The sequence below is a fragment of the Homo sapiens genome, chromosome 14 (assembly GCF_000001405.40).
Source record: "Homo sapiens chromosome 14, GRCh38.p14 Primary Assembly".
NCBI lineage: Eukaryota > Metazoa > Chordata > Mammalia > Primates > Hominidae > Homo > Homo sapiens.
Window position 1 is genome coordinate 106337684 of NC_000014.9, and position 21016 is coordinate 106358699.

At 42.4% G+C, this 21016-nt stretch overlaps 5 pseudogenes, 1 gene segment (V, D, J or C) and 1 further gene; all 7 read right to left on the bottom strand.

Moving 5' to 3' along the window:
- IGH (immunoglobulin heavy locus) overlaps window positions 1-21016 on the bottom strand; it is a 1293408-nt gene that overhangs the window by 751247 nt on the left and 521145 nt on the right.
- Window positions 4997-5270, bottom strand: IGHVII-30-1 (immunoglobulin heavy variable (II)-30-1 (pseudogene); annotated as a pseudogene). The gene is given in 1 exon segment: window positions 4997-5270. A coding segment is annotated over 1 exon segment (274 nt).
- Window positions 6702-7150, bottom strand: IGHV3-30-2 (immunoglobulin heavy variable 3-30-2 (pseudogene); annotated as a pseudogene). The gene is given in 2 exon segments: window positions 6702-7010; window positions 7105-7150. Coding segments are annotated over 2 exon segments (355 nt in total).
- Window positions 11600-12037, bottom strand: IGHV4-30-2 (immunoglobulin heavy variable 4-30-2). The segment is given in 2 exon segments: window positions 11600-11909; window positions 11992-12037. Coding segments are annotated over 2 exon segments (356 nt in total), but the record flags the coding sequence as incomplete, so codon positions are not given.
- IGHVII-30-21 (immunoglobulin heavy variable (II)-30-21 (pseudogene)) lies at window positions 16765-17021 on the bottom strand (annotated as a pseudogene). Its single transcript is given in 1 exon segment — window positions 16765-17021. A coding segment is annotated over 1 exon segment (257 nt).
- Window positions 18462-18919, bottom strand: IGHV3-32 (immunoglobulin heavy variable 3-32 (pseudogene); annotated as a pseudogene). The gene is given in 2 exon segments: window positions 18462-18770; window positions 18874-18919. Coding segments are annotated over 2 exon segments (355 nt in total).
- GOLGA4P1 (golgin A4 pseudogene 1) lies at window positions 19601-20114 on the bottom strand (annotated as a pseudogene).

Genomic DNA, 21016 nt, shown 5'->3' on the forward strand with positions numbered 1-21016 from the left:
TTCCCCAAACAGCATCCCTCCTCAGCTGGAAGCAGTTAAGACTTGTCTTTGTCTCTATTCTAATGACAGTTAGATGTACTTCTTCAAAGAGGAAAATGCTAGAGGTAGAAGGCAGAGAACTCTCCTAGGCAGGTAGGGAAGAGTCCCCATAGAATCTCCAACGCCCCAGGGTCATAGTGCACAGGGAGTTGCCTAGACATGCCTGCAGTGAAAATTGTTAATGTTGTCTTTATCACTCTCGGAATAAATAGCCACACATAATAATCTAGCTGCATGAAGATAAAAATTAACTAGTTTGAAATTAGAACAATTCCCTATTCACAATAGCAAAGACTTGGAACCAACCCAAATGTCCAACAATGATACACTGGATTAAGAAAATGTGGCACATATGCACCATGGAATCCTATGCAGCCATAAAAAATGATGAGTTCATGTCCTTTGTAGGGACATGGATGAAGCTGGAAACCATCATTCTCAGCAAACTATCGCAAGGACAAAAAACCAAACACCACATGTTCTCAGTCCTAGGTGGGAATTGAACAATGAGAACACATGGACACAGGAAGGGGAACATCACACACCGGGGCCTGTTGTGGGGTGAGGGGAGGGGGGAGGGATAGCATTAGGAGATATACCTAATATTAAATGACGAGTTAATGGGTGCAGCACACCAACATGGCACATGTATACATATCTAACTAACCTGCACATTGTGCACATGTACCCTAAAACTTAAAGTTAAAAAAAAAAACAACCAGAGAAGTGGGAAAAAAAAAGAAATTAGAACAATTACCAATAAAATCAAAGTTAGCATGTGGTTTATAATATTAATAGACAAGAGACATGGCTGAATGCTAAGAATGTGTTCACATCTACTTTATGTCATGATCAGGAAAATATTTTATATATTCTTTAGGTAAGAGTCCCATTGAGAGGATTAACATTGATGTATAATACCTCAATAATAAAAGTAAAGGTTATTAACTAGTAATTTCTATTAAGAACACAAACTTTCATTTAGGATATATTCTTCTATGTGTTAGGAAATCAACTCAGAAGGCAGGAAACATTGAACTTATTAGAGATGTTTAATAAATTAAAAATGAGAATTAAGTACGTATGCTTTTAGAGGGTGCACAACTTTGGAATTTTTTGTGTCGTTTTGTTTGAGACGGAGTCTCGCTGTGTCGCCCAGGCTGAAGTGCAGTGGCACAATCTCGGCTCACTGCGACCCCCGCCTCCAGGGTTCAAGCAATCCTCTCACTTCAGCCTCTCAAGTAGCTGGGATTACGAGTGTACACCACCATGCCCGGCGAATTTTTGTATTTTTAGTAGAAATGAGGTTTCACCATACTGACCAGGCTGGTCTCAAACTCCCAACCTCGAGGGGTCCACCCACCTCGGCCTCCCAAAGTGCTGGGTTTACAGGCATGAGCCACAGCGCCCAGCCTGGAATATTTTTAGAAACAGAGAGGGTTCTTACGTCTTCTGGAAATCCTATTGAGATGGACAACAAGGGAAGAAACCCTCAGATGAATTTCTACCTACTAGAGGGCTGATTAATATCATTTTAAAGCAAATGCTAACACACAAAAAGCTAACATGAAGCTAAAAAAATATAGTGATTCAATACAGCAACCATTCTAGCTCAATCTAGTTTAAAATATTATCTAACCATGGAGGGCACTGTCATTGTTCACAGAAGACAGAGTCAATCCCACTCACAACCTTCTGGGAATGTTTAAAAAATGGCATCCCTACATAAAAATTATCAATTTTAATAAAATGTGAACTTCCTTGGCCAAGGGTTCTCCCACTAGCACTATGGAATCATGGTTCACTCCTCAGGGTCCATCAGTTATTACCCTATGACTTGGTAGCTAAAAGGCCCATACGTTTATAGATTTTACACCAAGGGATCATCTTTGTTCTATTGCATGCATGTGTTACAAAATACGGAAAGGGATTCCTATGTGATATCCACTCCAATCATGAAGAGTTAAAACTGCCTTTTTACTACATCTTTTCCGCAGTGTCTTCTGATCTTCAACAAGGAAACTGAAAGGAATATCGGCAGAAAATACTGCTCTTGAATCATATTGGAAGGAATCTTATCAGAAACTTTTAACTAACTCACTGCACAAAACAGTCAGGCAGTTAATTATTGGCTTCATGTTTTACAAGTAAAGAATCAATTCAGGACAGATGCAGTGGATCTTCCCTATAATCACACCACTTTCAGAAGCAAAGTGAGGGAAATCACATGAGACCAGGAAATCGAAGCCAACCTGGGCAACATAAAGAGATGCTATTTCTATGAAAAAATATTTTAAAGAATAAGCAGGTGAGGGGTGGCATTCCCCTCTAATTCTAGATACTCAGGAGGCTGATACAGGAAGATTACGTGAGTCTGGAGGTCAAAATTACAGTGAGCTATGATCACACAACTGTACTTTAAGCTGTGGAACAGTGTGAGAGCCTGCCTCTAAAAACAAACCAAAAAGAATCAATTAAGAATTCCACACAACTGTAAATCTACTCAAATAGGAGATGCTAAACTGAGCATCCTCATTGATTGCCTGGCATTTCTGATGTTTTTAAGCAGACGTGTGACCTAAGACCTGCAGAATAAGCTGATAGTCCTTGATTGTGAGAAGCTTCTACCCAAGACATTCGGCCAGGACCCTAATTCCCCATCCCCTCCTTCTTTCTCTCATTATTATTTCCTTATATTTCTAAAGTCATCTCATTTCTGTAGATCTGGGTCTTGTCCATCGATACTGAACCCTTATTTCTTTTTCATTATTTTTATTCTTGCTACCTAGAATAAGTTGTCACTCTATCTTTTGGTGCATGCCTGTTGATTACTTAAGGCTCACTCCTCCATCATCTCCTTTTTTGCCACACAAGGTGAATCTAGTTTGGACTCACAGGAGCTTCTTCATTCAATGGCAGTGGGAGTTTCAAACCTTATAAACCCCGATCTGTGAGTGGGAAGCCTCACTCTGCCGCCACCACTAAACCATTATAAAAACCCTGAGCCAGTCTCCTTTCCTCTTCTTTCAAGCCATTTTAGATTTTCCTGTGAGACCTGCCCTGCACTCAGCAGACACCTACACTGTGCAGATAATACACTTTTCCATATTCACTTGCTCTGAGCTTATGACTTCATCAGACATGACACACACACTAAATCTCAGTTGAGATCTCTTGGCTTTGCATGTTGTCAACTACAACGGATGGTGTGAGCTTGGTGTCACTGTTTCTTTTTTTTTTTCACAGACGCTTCTCAAAAGAAGACATTTATGCAGCCAAAAGACACATGAAAAAATTCTCATCATCACTGGCCATCAGAGAAATGCAAATCTAAACCACAAGGAGATACCATCTCACACCAGCTAGAATGATGATCACTGTTTCTATCAACAGTACACACTGGATCCCTGAAACAACTCCAGGACACAGCTGGACATGTGCTATAGATTTGTTTTGTGTCCCCACCTAAATATCATCTCAAATTCTAATCCCCACATGTCAAGGGAGGGACCAGGTGAGAGGTTATTGGATCATGAGGGCAGTTTTCCCATGTTGTTCTCATCATAGTGAGTGACTTCTCACAAGAGCTGATAGTTTAAAAGTATGTGTCACTTCCCCCTCTCTCTCCTGCTGCGCTGTGTGATGTGCCGTGCTTCGCCTTCACCTTCCACCATGATTATAAGTTTCCTGTGGCCTCCCTAGCCATGCAGCACTGTGAGTCAACTAAACCTCTTTTCTTTGTAAACTCCTCGTCTCAGGTAGTTCTTTATACCACTGTGAAAACGAACTAATATCACATGACTGGTGGAGTTTGATAAACTTTCTTAATGACAGTTTGTAGGGGGGTTGATAGGGTTTGAAACAACCACTGGCATTGAATGAAGCAGCTCCTATGAGTCCAAACTAGATTCAGCTTGTGTGGCAAAAAAGGAGATGATGGAGGAGTGAGACTTATAATCAGTGCTAAAGGTAGTACTAATTATACTAGGTAAAATTTGGTATCAAAGCAATTAGACAGAGATAAATAAAATACATGAAAAGTCAGAAACTCCTGAATATACACATGAATGAGTGCTGAACATTTCTGTATTTTTAGAGAAATGCTAGAATACGGCAAAATAATGGCATGGGGTTAAATAAAAAAATAATAGTCTCCACACGAAGTGTTCAATTTTACAAATATGGTCATAGACATTATCATTATCCACATAGATAACAAGTCAATTACCCTCAAAATATCCTCTTGTTCTGTAATTCCTCCTTCCTAGACCTTCCCTTCTCCTACAATATTGACAGTGAACTACTGATTTTTATGTAACTTTAGATTACTTATCAATACATCAGGTAATAAAAGTTATAGATTTATGTGTGTTGTGGGGTGGCTGTATATAAGTTTCTGTGTGAGAGAGAGAGAATGAGGGAGGAAGGAAGGCAGAAAAAGAGAGGAATCCTACATAATTGACCACAATTTATGAGGTTCTCAAGTAATTATGGGGAATTAGTCCTTACAGACAAGGCTGATATAAGATGGAGAGGACAACTTGACACACCTAGCTATGGTTATATATTTATATCAATATCATTTTCTAATCATACAAACACATGCATTAGAATAGAGGTAGTGGAGGGTGTCTGGTGGTGAAACATGATGGTGACACAAAACGCCTCATCCAGCTCCTTTTCACACCAGCTGCACATGCCCTGAGGTTGAGCCTTGAACCTGCTCTTTCTGAATCGCCACAATAATCCTGAGCCCCCCGCTGTACCAAGCACCCTTTGGTGTCCTGATTTTCCCCCATGGTTCCTGAGAGCCCCCAGCTACCTGCATGCCTCTACAATGGTCTTGAGTGCCCCTTGGTGTCCTGAGGGAGCCTGGTGTCCTGAGTAACCCTGGCTGTCCTATGCACCCCCACAGGGAGGCTTGGGTATGAGTTCACACTGTGGTTTCCTCACTGTGTCTTTTGCTCTAAAATACATGGCTATGTGTTTGTTCCTCACATAGTTCAGCTGTAAGAAGAACTACTTTTTGGACATGGATCTGGAGATGGTGACTGGACTCTTGAGAAGAGGGGAGTAATTTGTGCTCCCTCCATGACCTATGCACCCGATCCACTCCAGTACCTCCCATGGGGGCGCTGATGGATGCAGCTCCAGAAGGAAACACTGGTTGTGATGGAGAATGCAGAGATGGCACAGGTGAGGGAGAGGTTCTGTGAAGGCTTCACCAGGCCAAGAGTGCACCGAGAAATACAGTTGTTGGCAGCCACAGGTTCTGGAGAACACACTGAAATTTCCAAATACTTACATTTCTATGAGAATAACGAGCTCACTTGTGCTCAATTAGTGAGTCTCCTAGCATAATGCAGTTGATGCTGATGTTGGATTCAGACAAATATAGGGTCACATTTTTCTCCATACTTGGAACCAAGTAATAAAGAGAAACTTATGTTAGGAGAATGGCCATTGAACTATCTCTGATCATGGTGATTTTCAGAATAGGCTTGAGATGTGATCACCTAAAGAGTGTCCTAATGCTTAACCAACAATTAGGCCTGAGCAGCAGTCACAGGCACTGGAGGTCGCCCACATGGAGAAATGTCTGACTCACTGAAGCTGCACCTGGGGGTCTCTGCAGGCTCTGAGTTGTGCAGAAACAGCTCCTCCCTTAGACTCAGACTGAGGACAATCTCTGCTCATTCTCTGGGGAAGGTGAGGGTTAGTGTGTGGAAAGAACCCAACTTACTTTGCTCAAGATCTCTGTACTTGAACAGAAACAAAGAGTAGGAGAAAAAATGATTTCGGTTTTACATAGAATAAATTATCATGAGGAAGGCAATAATATGTCTGGATCTTGCACAGAATTAAGAAACAATGAATTTGGGGTAAAGTTGAAAATTACAATTTCTTTGCAGATTCTGTTTTTAGTTATCTATGTCATCTGCGAAAATGAAGTAAAATCAGAGTTTTTATATAAAAATTCACAAACAGCATGCTGGCCCCAAGAATGCACCTCCCATCTCTCCAGCATCAGGCCCAACAGACCAGGCAGCCAGCTGCTGCACTGCACTCTTAACACCCGCCACCTGGTGTGTGCCAAAGACACCCATCCTGGGAGCTCCTCCCAGACAGTGGCTGTGCACAGTGGAGACACTGAGGCATGGCTGCTGCTGGGAAGCATTGGACATCCCTGATGGACAACTGTGCTCTGGGAGGCACCAATGGTCTTGCTGGACTTATCTTGGAAGACAGAGTTGTTAGGGAAGCTCCATCAAACTCCCATGCCTCTCCAGTACTAGTGGTGAGATTGACATTCTGGGGTGACAGTATCTACAGCCCCACCTGGCCTCCTGTGCATTTTTTGCTTCCATTACTTACATCTGCTTTGGGACAAATGAAAATGTTTCCTCTTCCTATAATAAACTTTTCTAATCCAGAGATGTCAGGGGTGGCCACAGAAACATAAATGTCCAGAGGCTCCGAGGGGAACTGGTAGATGCAGAGGAAGCCACAGACCCCGAAGGAAAGCAGCCCATGATAACCATCTGTACCTGCCCTAGAGCTGCCCGTTTTCAGTGGGTCCTGAGTGCCCCTTTTAGCCCAGCCTCCTCCCTTATCATTGCAGGAAACTGTGTCTGTGTTCACACTGATGTCTTCTTACCTGGTGCCTCACATACAGTAACACACAGCTGTGCCCGCTGCTCTCAGACTGTTCATTAGCAAATACAGTGAGTTCTTGGCATTTTCTTTGGAGATGGTGAATTTGCTCTTCAAAGATTATGCATAACATATCTGACTTCCATCACACTGTATATCTACTACTCACTCCAGCCCCTTCCCTGGAGCCTGGGAAACCGAGTTCCTTCAGTAGCTACTGAAGGTTAATCCAGAGTCTGCACAGGAGAGTCTCAGGGATCCCCCAGGTTGTCTTGGGTCCTCTCCGGACTCCACGAGCTGTACCTCTCACTAGACACCTGCAAACTCGTAGACATCCTGGTCAGAAACTCCCAGACATAATCCACCATTTCTCTCAAGGGTATCCACTCACGCTCAATCTCTCTAGTTCACCTTTTAAAACAGCAACAGTGAAAACCCAGCTCAGCCCAAGCTCCATGGTGGGTCCTCTGTCTTTAGTCCTGATCACCAAATAGAAACCCCTGGGAATCCCAGGGCTGGCGCTTCTCTCCCAGAGCTGTGCGGTCAGGACTGGGCTGGTTTTCATCAGCAGAGGGAGAAACCTATTTGCATGTCTCCTACTGTATAGCAAGCTCTGGGATGGGAATCCTGAGGAGGTGCAGGGCTCAGAGCAGACAAAGTGCCCTGGGGGAGATTGGTAGTCATCTTATCACTCAGGAAAATATCATTATATTATATGATTGTGCCTTGATAATCATTTAGCAGTCATCATCTTTTTGACATATTTGTAGAATACATTTAATGCAAGTGTCAATGTCACATTTTAAGGAAGATAAATCACACAGAGAACAGAGTGTTTATACAATGCATTCAAGGTCACACAGCTGGACAGAGTTAGCCCCATTATCTCGGCCTGTGCCTCTGACCACTAGAGGAGACTGCTCCCCTGAGACAACTCCAGGGCAGTGTGAGACATGCCTAGTGAGGTCTGCAGGATTCCACCCCTGCCAGGACATCTCTGTTTTCTTTTAGTGTATTCTGCTATTGACCTGAAATACATAGAGAGAACCAGTGTTCACGCTTGTGTATTTTCAAGAGTCAGAGATGTTTCGAGTGTTCATTCCCATTTAGTTTTGGCTCCACCTCAATAAATGTATTCATTTGTTTCTTTGTTACTGCTTTATTTAAATACAATTAATAATTAATTCAAATATATACTGCATAATTTGGAAAATGGTAACATGTGTGCAACCCTTTAATCAGAGCTTCAATTAATTTGTGTACAATTCACACCTAAATCTTTGTGTCACTTCTCTGTAATTTCATCTCACCACCCCATTACTTTCAAAACCCAGTTCCCACCAATATGTAATCTTCTCTGTTGCTTTAGAATAGCTGTACCTTCTGCAGTTTATACAAATAGAAGTTTATGAAGTGCACTGTTAATTTGTTAGCTACTTTCACTCAGCACAGTTATTTGTGAATGCAGCCATGATTTTATGAGAATGAGGATGCCTGGATTCTAATCCTGTGTTGTACTTTAGTTCATAATCATACATCAAATTGTCTAACATTCACTTGTAATGGATATGGATACTTGAGTTGTTCTCTTAATTTCTGGCTTTCATAGAGAGAGAGCAGTTACTCAGTATGGGAATGTGAAAAATGAGGAAACCATGATCTTACTCTTTCCTCATTAACAACAAACCTGAAAAATTATGAATAAATGAAGAAGAAAACCTTTTAACATATCTGAGTTGCTTTCACGGAGCAAAAAAGAGGACTGAAATCTGAGGAGGCAGACGCCTACAGAGAGGACTGGGGCCCACATGTTACCGAACCCAGGGCAGGTGCCACGGTATGGTATTGAGAGAGGAACAGGCTAACCTGGAAATATTTAGTGAGGATTTTTTTTTTAATTTTGGATGCATGTGCTAATGGTGTTAGATGTGAAACTATTAGTCCTTGCAGGCTTTTTCCCGGGGATCTGAAAAATCCACAGTCAGCTCCCTTATCTGCTGTCCTGCGGTGCTGACAGGAAGAGAAGAACGGTAAGGACTGTGGAACGCCTGGATTCACCTCCACTGTCTCCAGGGGAAATCCACTAAAACCTGTGTCCTATGGCCTGTGATGTGGTCATCAGAAACCAAAGAAAACAGAGGATTCCCAGGAAACTCCATCCAGATGAAATCCTTAATCTTCAGGTTAAGTACAATGGAGGAGAAGCTGAGGACATGGCAGAGAAACCACTGTGGGTTGGAAAAGACACTCTACCCCTGGGGGAAGAGGTAAGAACAGGAAACTTGGGAAGGCCACCCTGAGAATCATGATTACTGCATATGCATAAGAAGGAGGTTGTTTTGGAAGGTTGGAGAACATCCCCGTTTGTTCGAACCCCTTCTCCACATGGTCAACTAGGTCTGCAGAATAGTGAAGTAGCTGCATCAGCTCCATTCTGGCCTCTGTCATGTGACAGTTTGGGTGGATTTGCTTTCTGCTCTCTCATAATTTGTTTCCTCTCTCAACTCCTAGCTCCATTCTTCTTTTAATTCTCACTTTATTGAAGAGATTCATATTTAGCTTAGAACATTAAAACCTTTGGAAGTAATTTTCATCTCAAACCTACCAAATCTAATGAGCTCTCTCCAGGGGTGCCCATCTGCTTTTTTTCTTCCTTTTCTATGGGGTATGGCCCTTGTTTCTCCCTGAGTCCAGCTCTTATTTTCATATGCATGAGGAGTCCAACCATCACACACCCAGGGACATCTTGGAGCAACGTAACCTATCATCCGTCTCCTCAGCCCTCATGTGCACAGTGGCCACTCTGTCAGCTGCTGTATGTGCTTTAGGGCTTTCCATGTAAAAGTGTCTCTCACTTTCCCCCCAAATAAAGTTCCTGGTCCTTAAATACCTTCAAGAGCCAGTCTTCTTTACTGCCCCTTTGTTGCTAATATTGTTTTATTCCATTAAAATACATTGGGAACCTCAGTGACTATTGTCTGACTTCTATTATCCCATTGTCTGACTTCTGCCTGACTGACCCACCCATGAGCTTTAATCCACTGCTCTGCAGCTGATGGGGCCATCTGGACCTTCATTCATAAGAGGTGTGTAATTTATTAGAGAAGACCTGAGATCAGCAGGCGCCTGAGTTCCTCAGAACACAGGTGTGTCCTGCAGTAGAGTGTGTGTGACTGAAATCACACGTGTGTATAACTTGTAGCCTCAGCCCATAAGGTGATGACACCTTCTGGCCATTCCTGGGCAACCTGATGTGGGGTGCCCACAGAAGGATGGGTACATGACAAGGATGTTAGAAACCGATGTGGTGTTGGGGGCATGGACGGCCAAATTTAATTTAAATCTATTCTGTCCTTGATACTTGGGGAAGACTGGGAGAAAGGGAACAAAACTCAGACCCTATGTAGCTCCTAATTTAGGAAGGGATTCAGTGCAAATTGAGAAAGTTGAAGGAATAGACTATACTTTAAGGGATCATTTCTATAGTTCGTTCGAGGAAGTTGAAGGAAAACAGTTATGTTGGTGATGTTGGTGTGTTTTCCTGTGACTTACTTAGGAGACAGCAGAAGATGTTCAGTGGTCAGTCTCCATGCAGCTGGTCCTCATTGTCCATTTGTTATATCCACATGAAAGATAAAAGAAAATTTTGTGGTACAGGCACCAGGGCTGGTTTCAGAGACATTGCCCCAAGAATGGCCAACAGGGGCCAGGTGCGGTGGCTCACACTTGTAATCCCAACACTTTGGGAAACCGAGGCAGGCAGATCATGCAGTGAGGAGATTTGAGACCACCCTAACACAGTGAAACCCTGTCTCTGCTAAAAATACAAAAAAAAAATAGGCTGGCATGGTGGTGGACACCTGTAGTCCCAGCTGCTCAGGAGGTTGAGGAAGGAGAATTGCCTGAACCCAGGAGACGGGGTTTGTAGTCAGCTGAGATTGCACCACTGCACTCCAGCCTGGCCACAGAGCGAGACTCCGTCAAAAAAAAATGGCCAACAGGGCCATGACACATTTTTATATGAGAACTACTATTTCTGCCTACTTCATATGGATATCTGAGAGATGTGCCCAGCCTCAGGGAGCTGCTTCTCCCTCCAGGAGCTAACAGAGTTATGTGGTATTAGTCTGTCTGGGTCTTCATAAGAAGACAACAGGAGTGGGTGGCTTAAACAACAAACATTGATTTTCTCACCATTCTGAAGTCTGAATGTCCAAGGTCCAGGTGCTGGCAGGGTTGGTTCTTGGTGCGGCTTCTTCTTGGCTTGCACCTTCTAGTCCACTATGTCTCCACATGGCCTCTTCTCTGCGTGCACGGGAAAAGTGAGAGGTCTCTGGTGACTCTTCCACTTCTTATAAAGACAACAGATCTATTGCATTAGAATCTCAGACTTATGATCACATTTAACCTTAATTCCATCCTTAAAATTCCAATATAGATCAATTGGATTTAAGGTTTCAGCATTTGAATTTCAAAGACAGCACAATTCAACTGATGACACAAATCAAGAGATGGTGAGAAGTATTAGAATATATATTTTTTTTAATTAAGAAGGAAAAATGGGACATTCAGGAACTTGTAGGAAAGTTCCTAGTAATTAGTGACACTTTGACTCTAAGAGGAAAATTTGCCTTCCTCCTTCCTTTCCTACCACAAGGATGTGAGGAAGCAGAACCACAGATAATAAAGAAAGAGGAGTCCTGGGGACAGCTGAGGTGCTGGCGAGGAGGGAGAGCACTGAGCTGATGAGGAAGCCCCGCCCTCCCTGCACCTGCTCCTGACCCGGCCTCATGCTCTGTGGGCCCCGCGCGCCCCCTGCTGGTCCTGAGCAGCACCTGCGCCCGCCCCCTCCGCCTCCCTGCAGGGAGGTTTGTGTCTGGGCTCACACTCACCTCCCCTCATTGTGTCTCTGGCACAGTAATACACGGCCGTGTCCGCGGCGGTCACAGAGCTCAGCTTCAGGGAGAACTGGTTCTTGGACCTGTCTACTGATATGGTGACTCGACTCTTGAGGGACGGGTTGTAGTAGGTGCTCCCACTATGATAGATGTACCCAATCCACTCCAGGCCCTTCCCTGGTGGCTGCCGGATCCAGCTCCAGGAGTAACCACCACTGCTGATGGAGCCACCAGAGACAGCGCAGGTGAGGGACAGGGTCTGTGAAGGCTTCACCAGTCCTGAGCCGGACTCCTGCAGCTGCAGCTGGGACAGGACCCCTGTGAACAGAGAGACCCACAGTGAGCCCTGGGCTCAGAGGCACCTCCCATATCTCCATGTCTGCAGCCTTGAGACACTCACATCTGGGAGCTGCCACCAGCAGGAGGAAGAACCACAGGTGTTTCATGTTCTTGCACAGGAGGTCCAGGACTCTCAGAAAGTATTTCCCATGTGAGCTGGACCCTGAATTTAAGGAAATGTGTGGTGGTTTCCTGTGGGTGCCTAAGTGAGATTTGCATGGGGGTGGTGCCTCTGTATGGAGAAGTGAAAAGGGATGAGGGAGGCCCCAGTCTTTTAGACTCTCCCTGGGAGGAGGATGCTGGCTGTGCCCTCTGAGAATTCAGTTATCTTCCTGGGGCCTCAACTCACTATGTCCTGGCTCCTCTTTTCCCAGGTGAGGAAACAGATTGCAACAGCAGCTTAATGTAACAATCACTTGAGTTCAGACACACCAGGATTCACTTAATGTTATTTTTAGTTCAGAACCTCTATCAGGTTTAGAGGGAATCGCTCTGTGCCAGGGAGTGGGTCTTAAATAGCAAAACGGCCTCAGAAAACCCAACATAATCTACAGGGAGACCTCAGCATGGCAAGCAAGGAATCACTAAAGCCACCAGGGAGCTCCGGATGCACTGATACGATCCAGAAACATAGCGAGTCCGGGAACTGATGGGGACTTTGGGGGAGCCTCTTTTATTATTTTTTAAGGATTCTGTGGTTGAAGGTCACAACACTGGGCCTGACTGCTCCCTGAACCAAGCCCAGCACAATGTGGTTCACCCCAGTGACATTTTCAGATCTTTCTTCCTGTAATGAAAGCACGGTGTGATGTGTATGCACTATTGTGTTTACCTAATGAATGTAAAGAGAAGCACATTTCATGCAGTTGTATTTTCATAAATGTCAGACATTCATCATGTTAGTGTCTATTTTTCCATGAATCTGTACTGAACAAATTATTCATTCATTGATTTGTAGTAGTCTTATTGAGACATTATTACTATACATTAAATATTGCAAAAAGTGTGTGGTTTAATAAGTACTCAAGCCAAGCCAAACCTCCTGGCACACAACGGTAGTTCCAGCTACTTAGATGGCAGATGCAGGAGTATTGTTGGAGACCAGAAGTTAGAGGCTACATTGAACTATGATCCCACCACTACACTCCAGCCTGGGTCGCAGAGAAGGACCACATCTCTTCAGAAAAAAAAAAGAAACAAACAAAACACAATGTAATTCCACTCGTGCTCACCTGTGCATCCCCAAAAGCCATCCAAATAATGAACAAATTACACTTAAAAGTTTCCTTGTGTTGCTCTACAATTCCTCCTTCCCAATTATTTTCTTCCCCCACCATATTCTGAGTCAGTCCTTCACATTTAATACCTTAGTTTTGAGTTTCAAGAATTTATTATACAGGAATTATATAGTATGTGTTTTATTTGTGTGGCTTCTCGCACGTAACTACTTATGATGCAAACATGTTGAGCATCAACAATGTATTGATTCTCATGATGGATGTTATTACAGTAAATTAGCATGCCATTACTTTTTATCTATGTATCTTCTTGATATTTGTATCATTTCTAGTTTCTTAGTATTACACATAGAGGTGCTTCTCAGCTTGGAGATGTAAGCACCCGATAAAAATATGTTATTATTCTTACAACAGCTACTAAACTTACTGATCTGCAAATTAGCACATATACATCAAATTTTTGATGTTATAGGACAAACAATATATCTGAAATCTGAAGAGAGATAAGGACGTGCAGGGAAATAAACAGGAGCAGATGATAATCTTTTCTGGGACAGAGGCTGCCAAATGCCATTTAAGTTAGCACACGATTAAAGTAGACATATTCATTGGATGGTTTCAATTTGAGTGTGATAGAGAAGTTATTGTTTAAATTCTCAGAGTGTATACAGTTGAGGAATTCCTCCTGCTATTGAAGCCTTTTTCTTCAGTACTGGGGATACATCACAAAATGCTCCAGCCTCTACCCTTTGGGATGGTGCTGTCTGGGAAAGCAAAACAGCAACTATAGCTGAAATGCATCCAGACACACCTCCCCATCACCACTACATTGCAAGAGAAATTATCTGCAGAGGTAAAGCCACCAAAACCACTGTTCTACAGACACTGGAGAAACCAATAAGAACTGGGACAGGAGAGAGGAATGCACCAAGTCCCTGTCCAGGCCCACCTCCCATCTTCCCTCAGGAGTAACAGCCTTATTCAAAAGGAAAAGGCAGAAACTGAAGAAATCAGTGGGAAGACATAGTGGCTGCTGAAGGAACATATGAATAAAAATGAAGAGGCCAGTTGCGGTGCCTCACGCCTATAATTCCAGCACTTTGGGAGGCTGAGGTGGAAGGATCACCTGAGGTAGGGAGTTTGAGACCAGCCTGACCAATATGGAGAAATGTCATCTCTGATAAAAATACAAGATTAGCGGGGCATGGTGTCACATGCCTGTGATCCCAGCTACTCTGGAGGCTGAGGTAGGAGAATCACCTGAACCTGGGAGGGGGAGATTGCAGTGAGCTGAGATGGCACCATTGCACTCCAGTCTGGGCAAGAAGAGGGAAAATCCACCTAAAAAAAAAAAAAAAAAAAAAAAGAATGACAAGAATGGCCAAGTGTAGATGAAGCGCCCTGGAAACCTAGCTACTTGCTAGTGAGGAGGTTGAGGTGGGAGGATTCTATGAGCCAGGAATTTGAAATCACCATGAGCTATGTTATGATCACAGCACTGTAGTCCAACCTGCACAACAGAATGAGACTCCATCTCAAAAAAAAATTAAGAATTTCACACAATTGTAAAGCTACTCAGAGGAAATTAAACTGCGCATCCTCACATATCATCTGGCACTTCTGATATTTTGAAGAAAACAGGTGACCTAAGACCTTCAGAATAAGCTGATGATCTGAAATCATGAAAAGCTTCCACAGAAGACATTGGACCAGAATCCTCCTCCATATCCTCCTCCTACTCATTATTCTTTGCTTATAAACTGTCTTCTCATTTTCTGCAGACCTGGCTGTTGTCCACCCATATTGGAGTCTTGTCTCTTTTCTTACTCATCATTTGTATACTTGCTATTTAGAGTAAGTCATCAGACTCTATGTTTAGGCCTGACTGCTGATAACTTCAGGCTCTTTCCTCCATCATCTCTTTTTTTAAGCATACAAGGTAAATCTAGTTAGAAATCACAGGAGCTCCCTCTTTTCATGCCAATTTGACCTTGAAACCCCACAAAACCCTTCCTGCAAGTACGATGCTCTGCCCCACTCCCCACCAAACCATGATAACAACCCTGAGCCAGTCTCCTTCCCTGCTCTATCAAGCCACTTTGGACCTTAATGAGAGACCTGCCCTGCTCTCAGCAGACACCTTAAGGATGCAGGTAACTATCCTTTGCATACTCACTTGGTGTGAGTGTGTGGCATAATCAGACTCAACATCCACAGAAAATTTTAGTTGAGATCTCTTGGCATTGGCATGGTGTCGGCTACAATGGATGCTGGGAGCTTGGTGTCACGGCTCCTTTCAAAGGACATGCCTGCTCCCTGAGTTAACTCCAAGATGCAGTTGGACATGCCTCCTGGGGTTTGAGAAGCTCCTTTCATGTACTGAAATCCTGTCATTATGTTTTTGTATTCTAGTGTCTCCCTCAAAGTACAGTGAGACCCAGGGTCCATTCATGTGTGTATTCAGGACTCTCTGAATTTTATGTATTTTATTCATCTCTCTCTACTACCTTTTCTACCAAACTAGACATTTAAAAAATTGCAATATTTTAATGAGATGAAATTAGCAAATAAGAATCTTTACATAAAGTGTACAATTTTACAAATAGTGACATAATCCTCACTTTTACTAACAGAGAAAAAATCAATTATCCTAGAAATTTCCTTTTGCTCTCCTGTAGTTTCTCCTTTCTATACCTTCTCTTCTTGTACCATGTCCCCAGTCAACTACAGATCTTTTCATGTAACTTTAAGTTCATTTTTACTTTATAGAAATTATAGAAGTGGAATCGTATGTATGCACTTTCATTTGTTTGACTTATTTTACTTATTCAGGTGCTTGTTATTTTAAGCATGGTGTTGAGTGTATCCAGCAGTACTTGATTGTAACAGTGGGTATTATTCCAGTAAATGAATTTTCCACAATTTGTTTACCAGTTAAGCTGCTGAATAACAGTTGGATCGCTTTTGGTCTCTGGGTATAATAAACAAAGATGCTACTTAGCTTAGAGAAGTGACAAGCTGAGAAAAACATGGTTCTTATTTTTACATAACATGAATAGCAGGCAAAGCAGAAAAGCTGCACACTAATCAATTTGCTTCAATACATCACATAATTAAAGTTGGGAAGCTCTGTGTGTGTGTCAGTTCACGTGTTTTTGTGTGACAGAGAGAGAAGGCAGGAGGAGAGACCATGTCAAAAGGAGACCCTACATCTTTTGACCATAATGTGTGAGGTACTCAAGTAATTACAGGGACTTAGTGCTTGATGGACAAGGTCCACATAAGATGGAGAGGACAACTGGATGCACCTCCATATGGGTACATAGTAGTATTTACATAAATGCCATTTTCTAATCATATCAACACTCAGACACATTAGAAGAGATGTAGTGGAGGGTGTCTGGTGGTGAAATATGATGGTGAGAACAACCCACATCTACAGCCCCTTTTCTGCCCTGTTGCACTTGCCCTGATGCGAAGCCTTGGTCCTGCTCATCCTGACCCCTAACAATCATCCTAAGCCCCCATACTGCCCCGAATGCCCCCTGCTGCTCCTATTCACCCCTGCAGGGAGGTTTGTGTCTAGGCTCACAATGAAGGCCCTTCATTGCATCTTTTGCTTCAAAATGCGTAGTTGTGTGTTCACTGGGCACAGAGCTCAGCTGTAAGAACTGTTTCTTGGATCCGGATATGGACTCTTGAGAAGTGGGTTGTAATTTGTGCTCCCTTCACAACCCATGCACCTGATCCACTCCTGTCCATCTTCTAGGGGCAAGCAGATACAATTCTAGAAGGAAACACTGGTTATGATGGGGAATCCAGAGACAGTGCAGGTGAGGGAGAGGGTCTGTGAGGATGTCTCAAGCCAGAAGTGCACTGCGAAACACAGTTGTCCATGTTAACGGGTCCTGGACAACACGGTGAAATTCCCAAATACATGCATTTTTTTATGAGCATAAAGAGCTCACTTTGTCCGATTTGTGAGTCTCCTAGAACAATTCAGTAGATTTAGAGGTTAGATTAAAAAGTATTATCACATGTTCCTTTCCTCAGACTTGCAACCAAATAAAAAAGAGAAACTGCTGTTTAGAAAAATGAACATTGAATTATTACCACGGTGTGTGATAATGATGATTTTTAGAATATGATTGACCTGTGATAACCTGAAGACTGTCCTAATTCTGAGCCCACAATTAGACCTGAGCAGCAATCACAGGGAGTGAAACACCTGACTCAGTGAAGCTGCACCTGGGGGTCTCCGCAGGCCCTGAGTGGTACAGGAACAGCTCCTCCCTCAGACTCAGTCTAAGGAGAACTTCTGCTCTTTATCTGGGGAGGTGAGGGTGAGTGCGTGGAAAGTACCAAACTTGCTCTAATCAAGATCTCTGCATGTGGGGAGAACCAAAGTATACGAGAAACAACTGGTTTCAGTTTAGGTCGAACAATTTCTCATGAGAAGGGCAATACCATGTCTGGATCCTGCACAGAATTAAGAAACAATGAACTTGGGGTAAAGTTGAAAATTACAATTGTTTGCAGATTGTGTTATTAATTATCTATGTCATCTGAGAAAATGAATTAAATCACATGGTTTTTATACAAAAATTAACAAACAGCGTGCTGGCCTTGAGAATGCACCTCCAATCCCTCCAATATCCAGGAGCCCAATAGACCAGGCAGCCAGCTGCTGCACTGCACTCTAACACCCATCACCTGTGTGTGCCAAAGACACCCATCCTGGGAGCTCCTCCCAGACGATGGCTGTGCACAGTGGAGATACTGAGGCATGGCTGCTGCTGGGACACATGGGAGATCCCTGATGGACAACTGTGCTCAGCGAGGCACCAATGGCCTTGCTGGACTTAGCTTGGACCACGGGGTCATCAGGGAAGCTCCATCAAACTCCCACCCTTCTCCAGCACTAGTTTTGGGTCTGGCATTGTGGGGTGGCAGTGTCTACAGACTCACGCGGCTCCTATGCATTTTTATGCCTCCAAAACTTACATCTGTTTTTGGGACATATGAGAATATTTCCTCTTTTAAATTAGTTTTCTAATCCAGGGACCTCATGGTGGGCACAAAACATAAATATACAGAGGTTCAGAGGGGAAATATTAGAAGCAGAGGAAACCACAGACCCTGAAGGAAAGCAGCCCTTACCCTCCCTCCATCTGCACCTGCCTTGGGGCTGCACCTGTTTTGTGAGTGCTGAGTGTCCCCTTCGGCCCAGACTCCTTTCTTCTTTTTGCAGGAAATGTTGTGTCTGGACTCACACCGATATTTCCTCACTTGGGACCTTATGTATAGCCATACACGGCCACGTCCTCAGCTCTCTGAGTGTTCATTTGCAGATACAGAGAGTTCTTAGCATTGTCTTTGGAGATGGAGAATCTGCCCTTCACAGAGTCTGCATGGTGTATCTGACTTCCATCATCTTTTATATCTATTACTCACTCCAGCCCCTTGCCTGGAGACTGGTGAACTCGGCTCATTCAGAAGCTACTGAAGGCGAATCTAGAGGCTACACAGGAGAGTCTCAGGAACTTCCCAGGTTGTCTCAGGTCCTCTATGGACTCTATCAGCTCCACCTCACACTGAACACCTGAAAATACACACACATCCTGGTCAGAAACTGGCAAACATATCCACTGTTTCTCTCACTCATATCCACTCACTCTCACTCACTCTAGTTCCCTAGGAGTCACCTTTTAAAATACCAACAAGAAAAATTCAGCTTAATTCACACCCCATAGTGAGTTCTCTGTGTTCAGTCCTGATTACCAAATGGAAACCCCTGGGAATCCCAGGGCTGTGGCTGTTCTCCCAGAGCTGCAGGGTCAGGTCTGGGCTTGATTTCACCAGGAGAGGGAGGGCCCTGTTTTCATGCCTCCTCCTCTATAGCAAGCTCCAGTGTGGGACGCCTGAGAAGAAGGCAGTGCCCAGAGCAGACGTCAGACTCCAGGAGGACTTTAGTGGCAATGGTAGCATTTGGAAAAATATTACTTATAATGTGACTGTGCCATAAAACTCATTTAGCAATTATGATTTTTGTTTTTACACATGTGTACAAATACAAATATAACTGCATTAAGCAAACTGTAAGAGATATAAAGAAATAGAAAACAATACAAAAATAACACAAGACCTTAATACCTCATGACCATAATGTTTAGCAAATCCAGAAAGAAAATTCTCAATGTGCCTCTGAACTTGAACAACACTATTGAACAAATTTATCTGAATGATATTTACAGAACCTTCCAACCAAGAGTCACGTAATACACATCCTTCTCAAGAACACATTGAACATTCTCCATGATAGGTTATCTGTTACATCATAAAATGAACCTTAACATTTAAAGAAGTAATAGCAGCCCTTCTGTAACTCTTTCAAAAATTGGTGGAGTCCACCTTCCAAACTCTTTATATATATATAGTAAATAAACTTTATGTTTCTCAGAGATGACACTGTAAACAGTCACAGATTTGCATACAATACAATTATGTATTGGCTATTTACAATTTACAGTAGTGGTTCTTCCTCTGAAAAATATAAGTACAAAAGCTAAGTAAACAATGAGGTACTGCCATTTGGGATTTATTATGTGTCATAGCTTAAAGAACTGGCCTTTAGCAAATATTAAACAAATCAACCTGAATAAAATAGTCAATTAAATGATTTATTTTTACTAATTTATTGGAAAAAATTCCACCAGGTTTCACCTCAAAATGTATTGCATATGTCTAAAAACAAACTTAAAAATAAATAGGAAAGGTAAGCAGTTCTTCAAAAAGAATGGAAGAAAGGAATAGAATGAAAGCTCATAAACCAGGTTAAGTCATTCTGAATATCTTTTAAACAACATAAAATTCTTCCCAACAGAAAAGTGAAGAAAAAACTATCACCATTTCTCCACTGATAAAATCTATTTTAAAGGTAGTCTGCCATACACCTTCTAAACTCTTTCTATGAGACTACCATGATAGTATTACCAGTAATAGACAAAGGCACCACAATAAAGGAAACTACAGACCAATATCATTAGTAGACATGAATTAATCCCCAACAATAGTAAACTAAGCTCCAAAGTGTTTTAGAAGACATACACCATGACCAACTCAAATTTCTTCCTGAGATGCATACTTGATTCAACATTCTCAAATCAATCAGTTTGGTACACATTAAAAAACTAAAGAAAAAATATCTCAGTAACATTTCATCAGACACAGAAAAAGACTTTGAAAAAAATCAGTTTCATTATTAAAACTATGAACAAAGTAGGAAGACAAGAAAACAACTTGAACATAATAAAAGCCGTTAAGAAAGGCCACAGCTATTATTACACTCAATAGTAAAAGGTTAGAATATTTTGGTACAATATCTGTAACAAGGCAAGAAGAAAGCTTTAGGCATTTCACTTCCAGGCCTCAACATTTATTAAAAACATAGAAAGTTTTGGCTTAAATACCTATATAGAGCTTAGATATAAACCCACATATTGATGACAAGCTGATTTTTAGCATGAGAACCATCAATATAACATGGCTAAATTGTAGTGTCTTCCAAAGAGGGTGGTATGAAAACTGGATTTTCCCATGAAAAGAATTAAGAATTTTAGGTTAGAATAAACACAAAAATTCACTCCAAATGCCTCAAATATCTAACTGTAATACCTCTAATTGTAAAACTCTCAACACTCAAAAAATTAGCAATCTTTTTCAGGATTTTACATTCAAATCACCTACAAAAAAAAGCAGAATTGAACAAGTGGGAATAGATTATGAAAAAGATTCTGCAAAGCAACAAAATAACTACAACTTACAGAATTGGATAATATGCCATATATC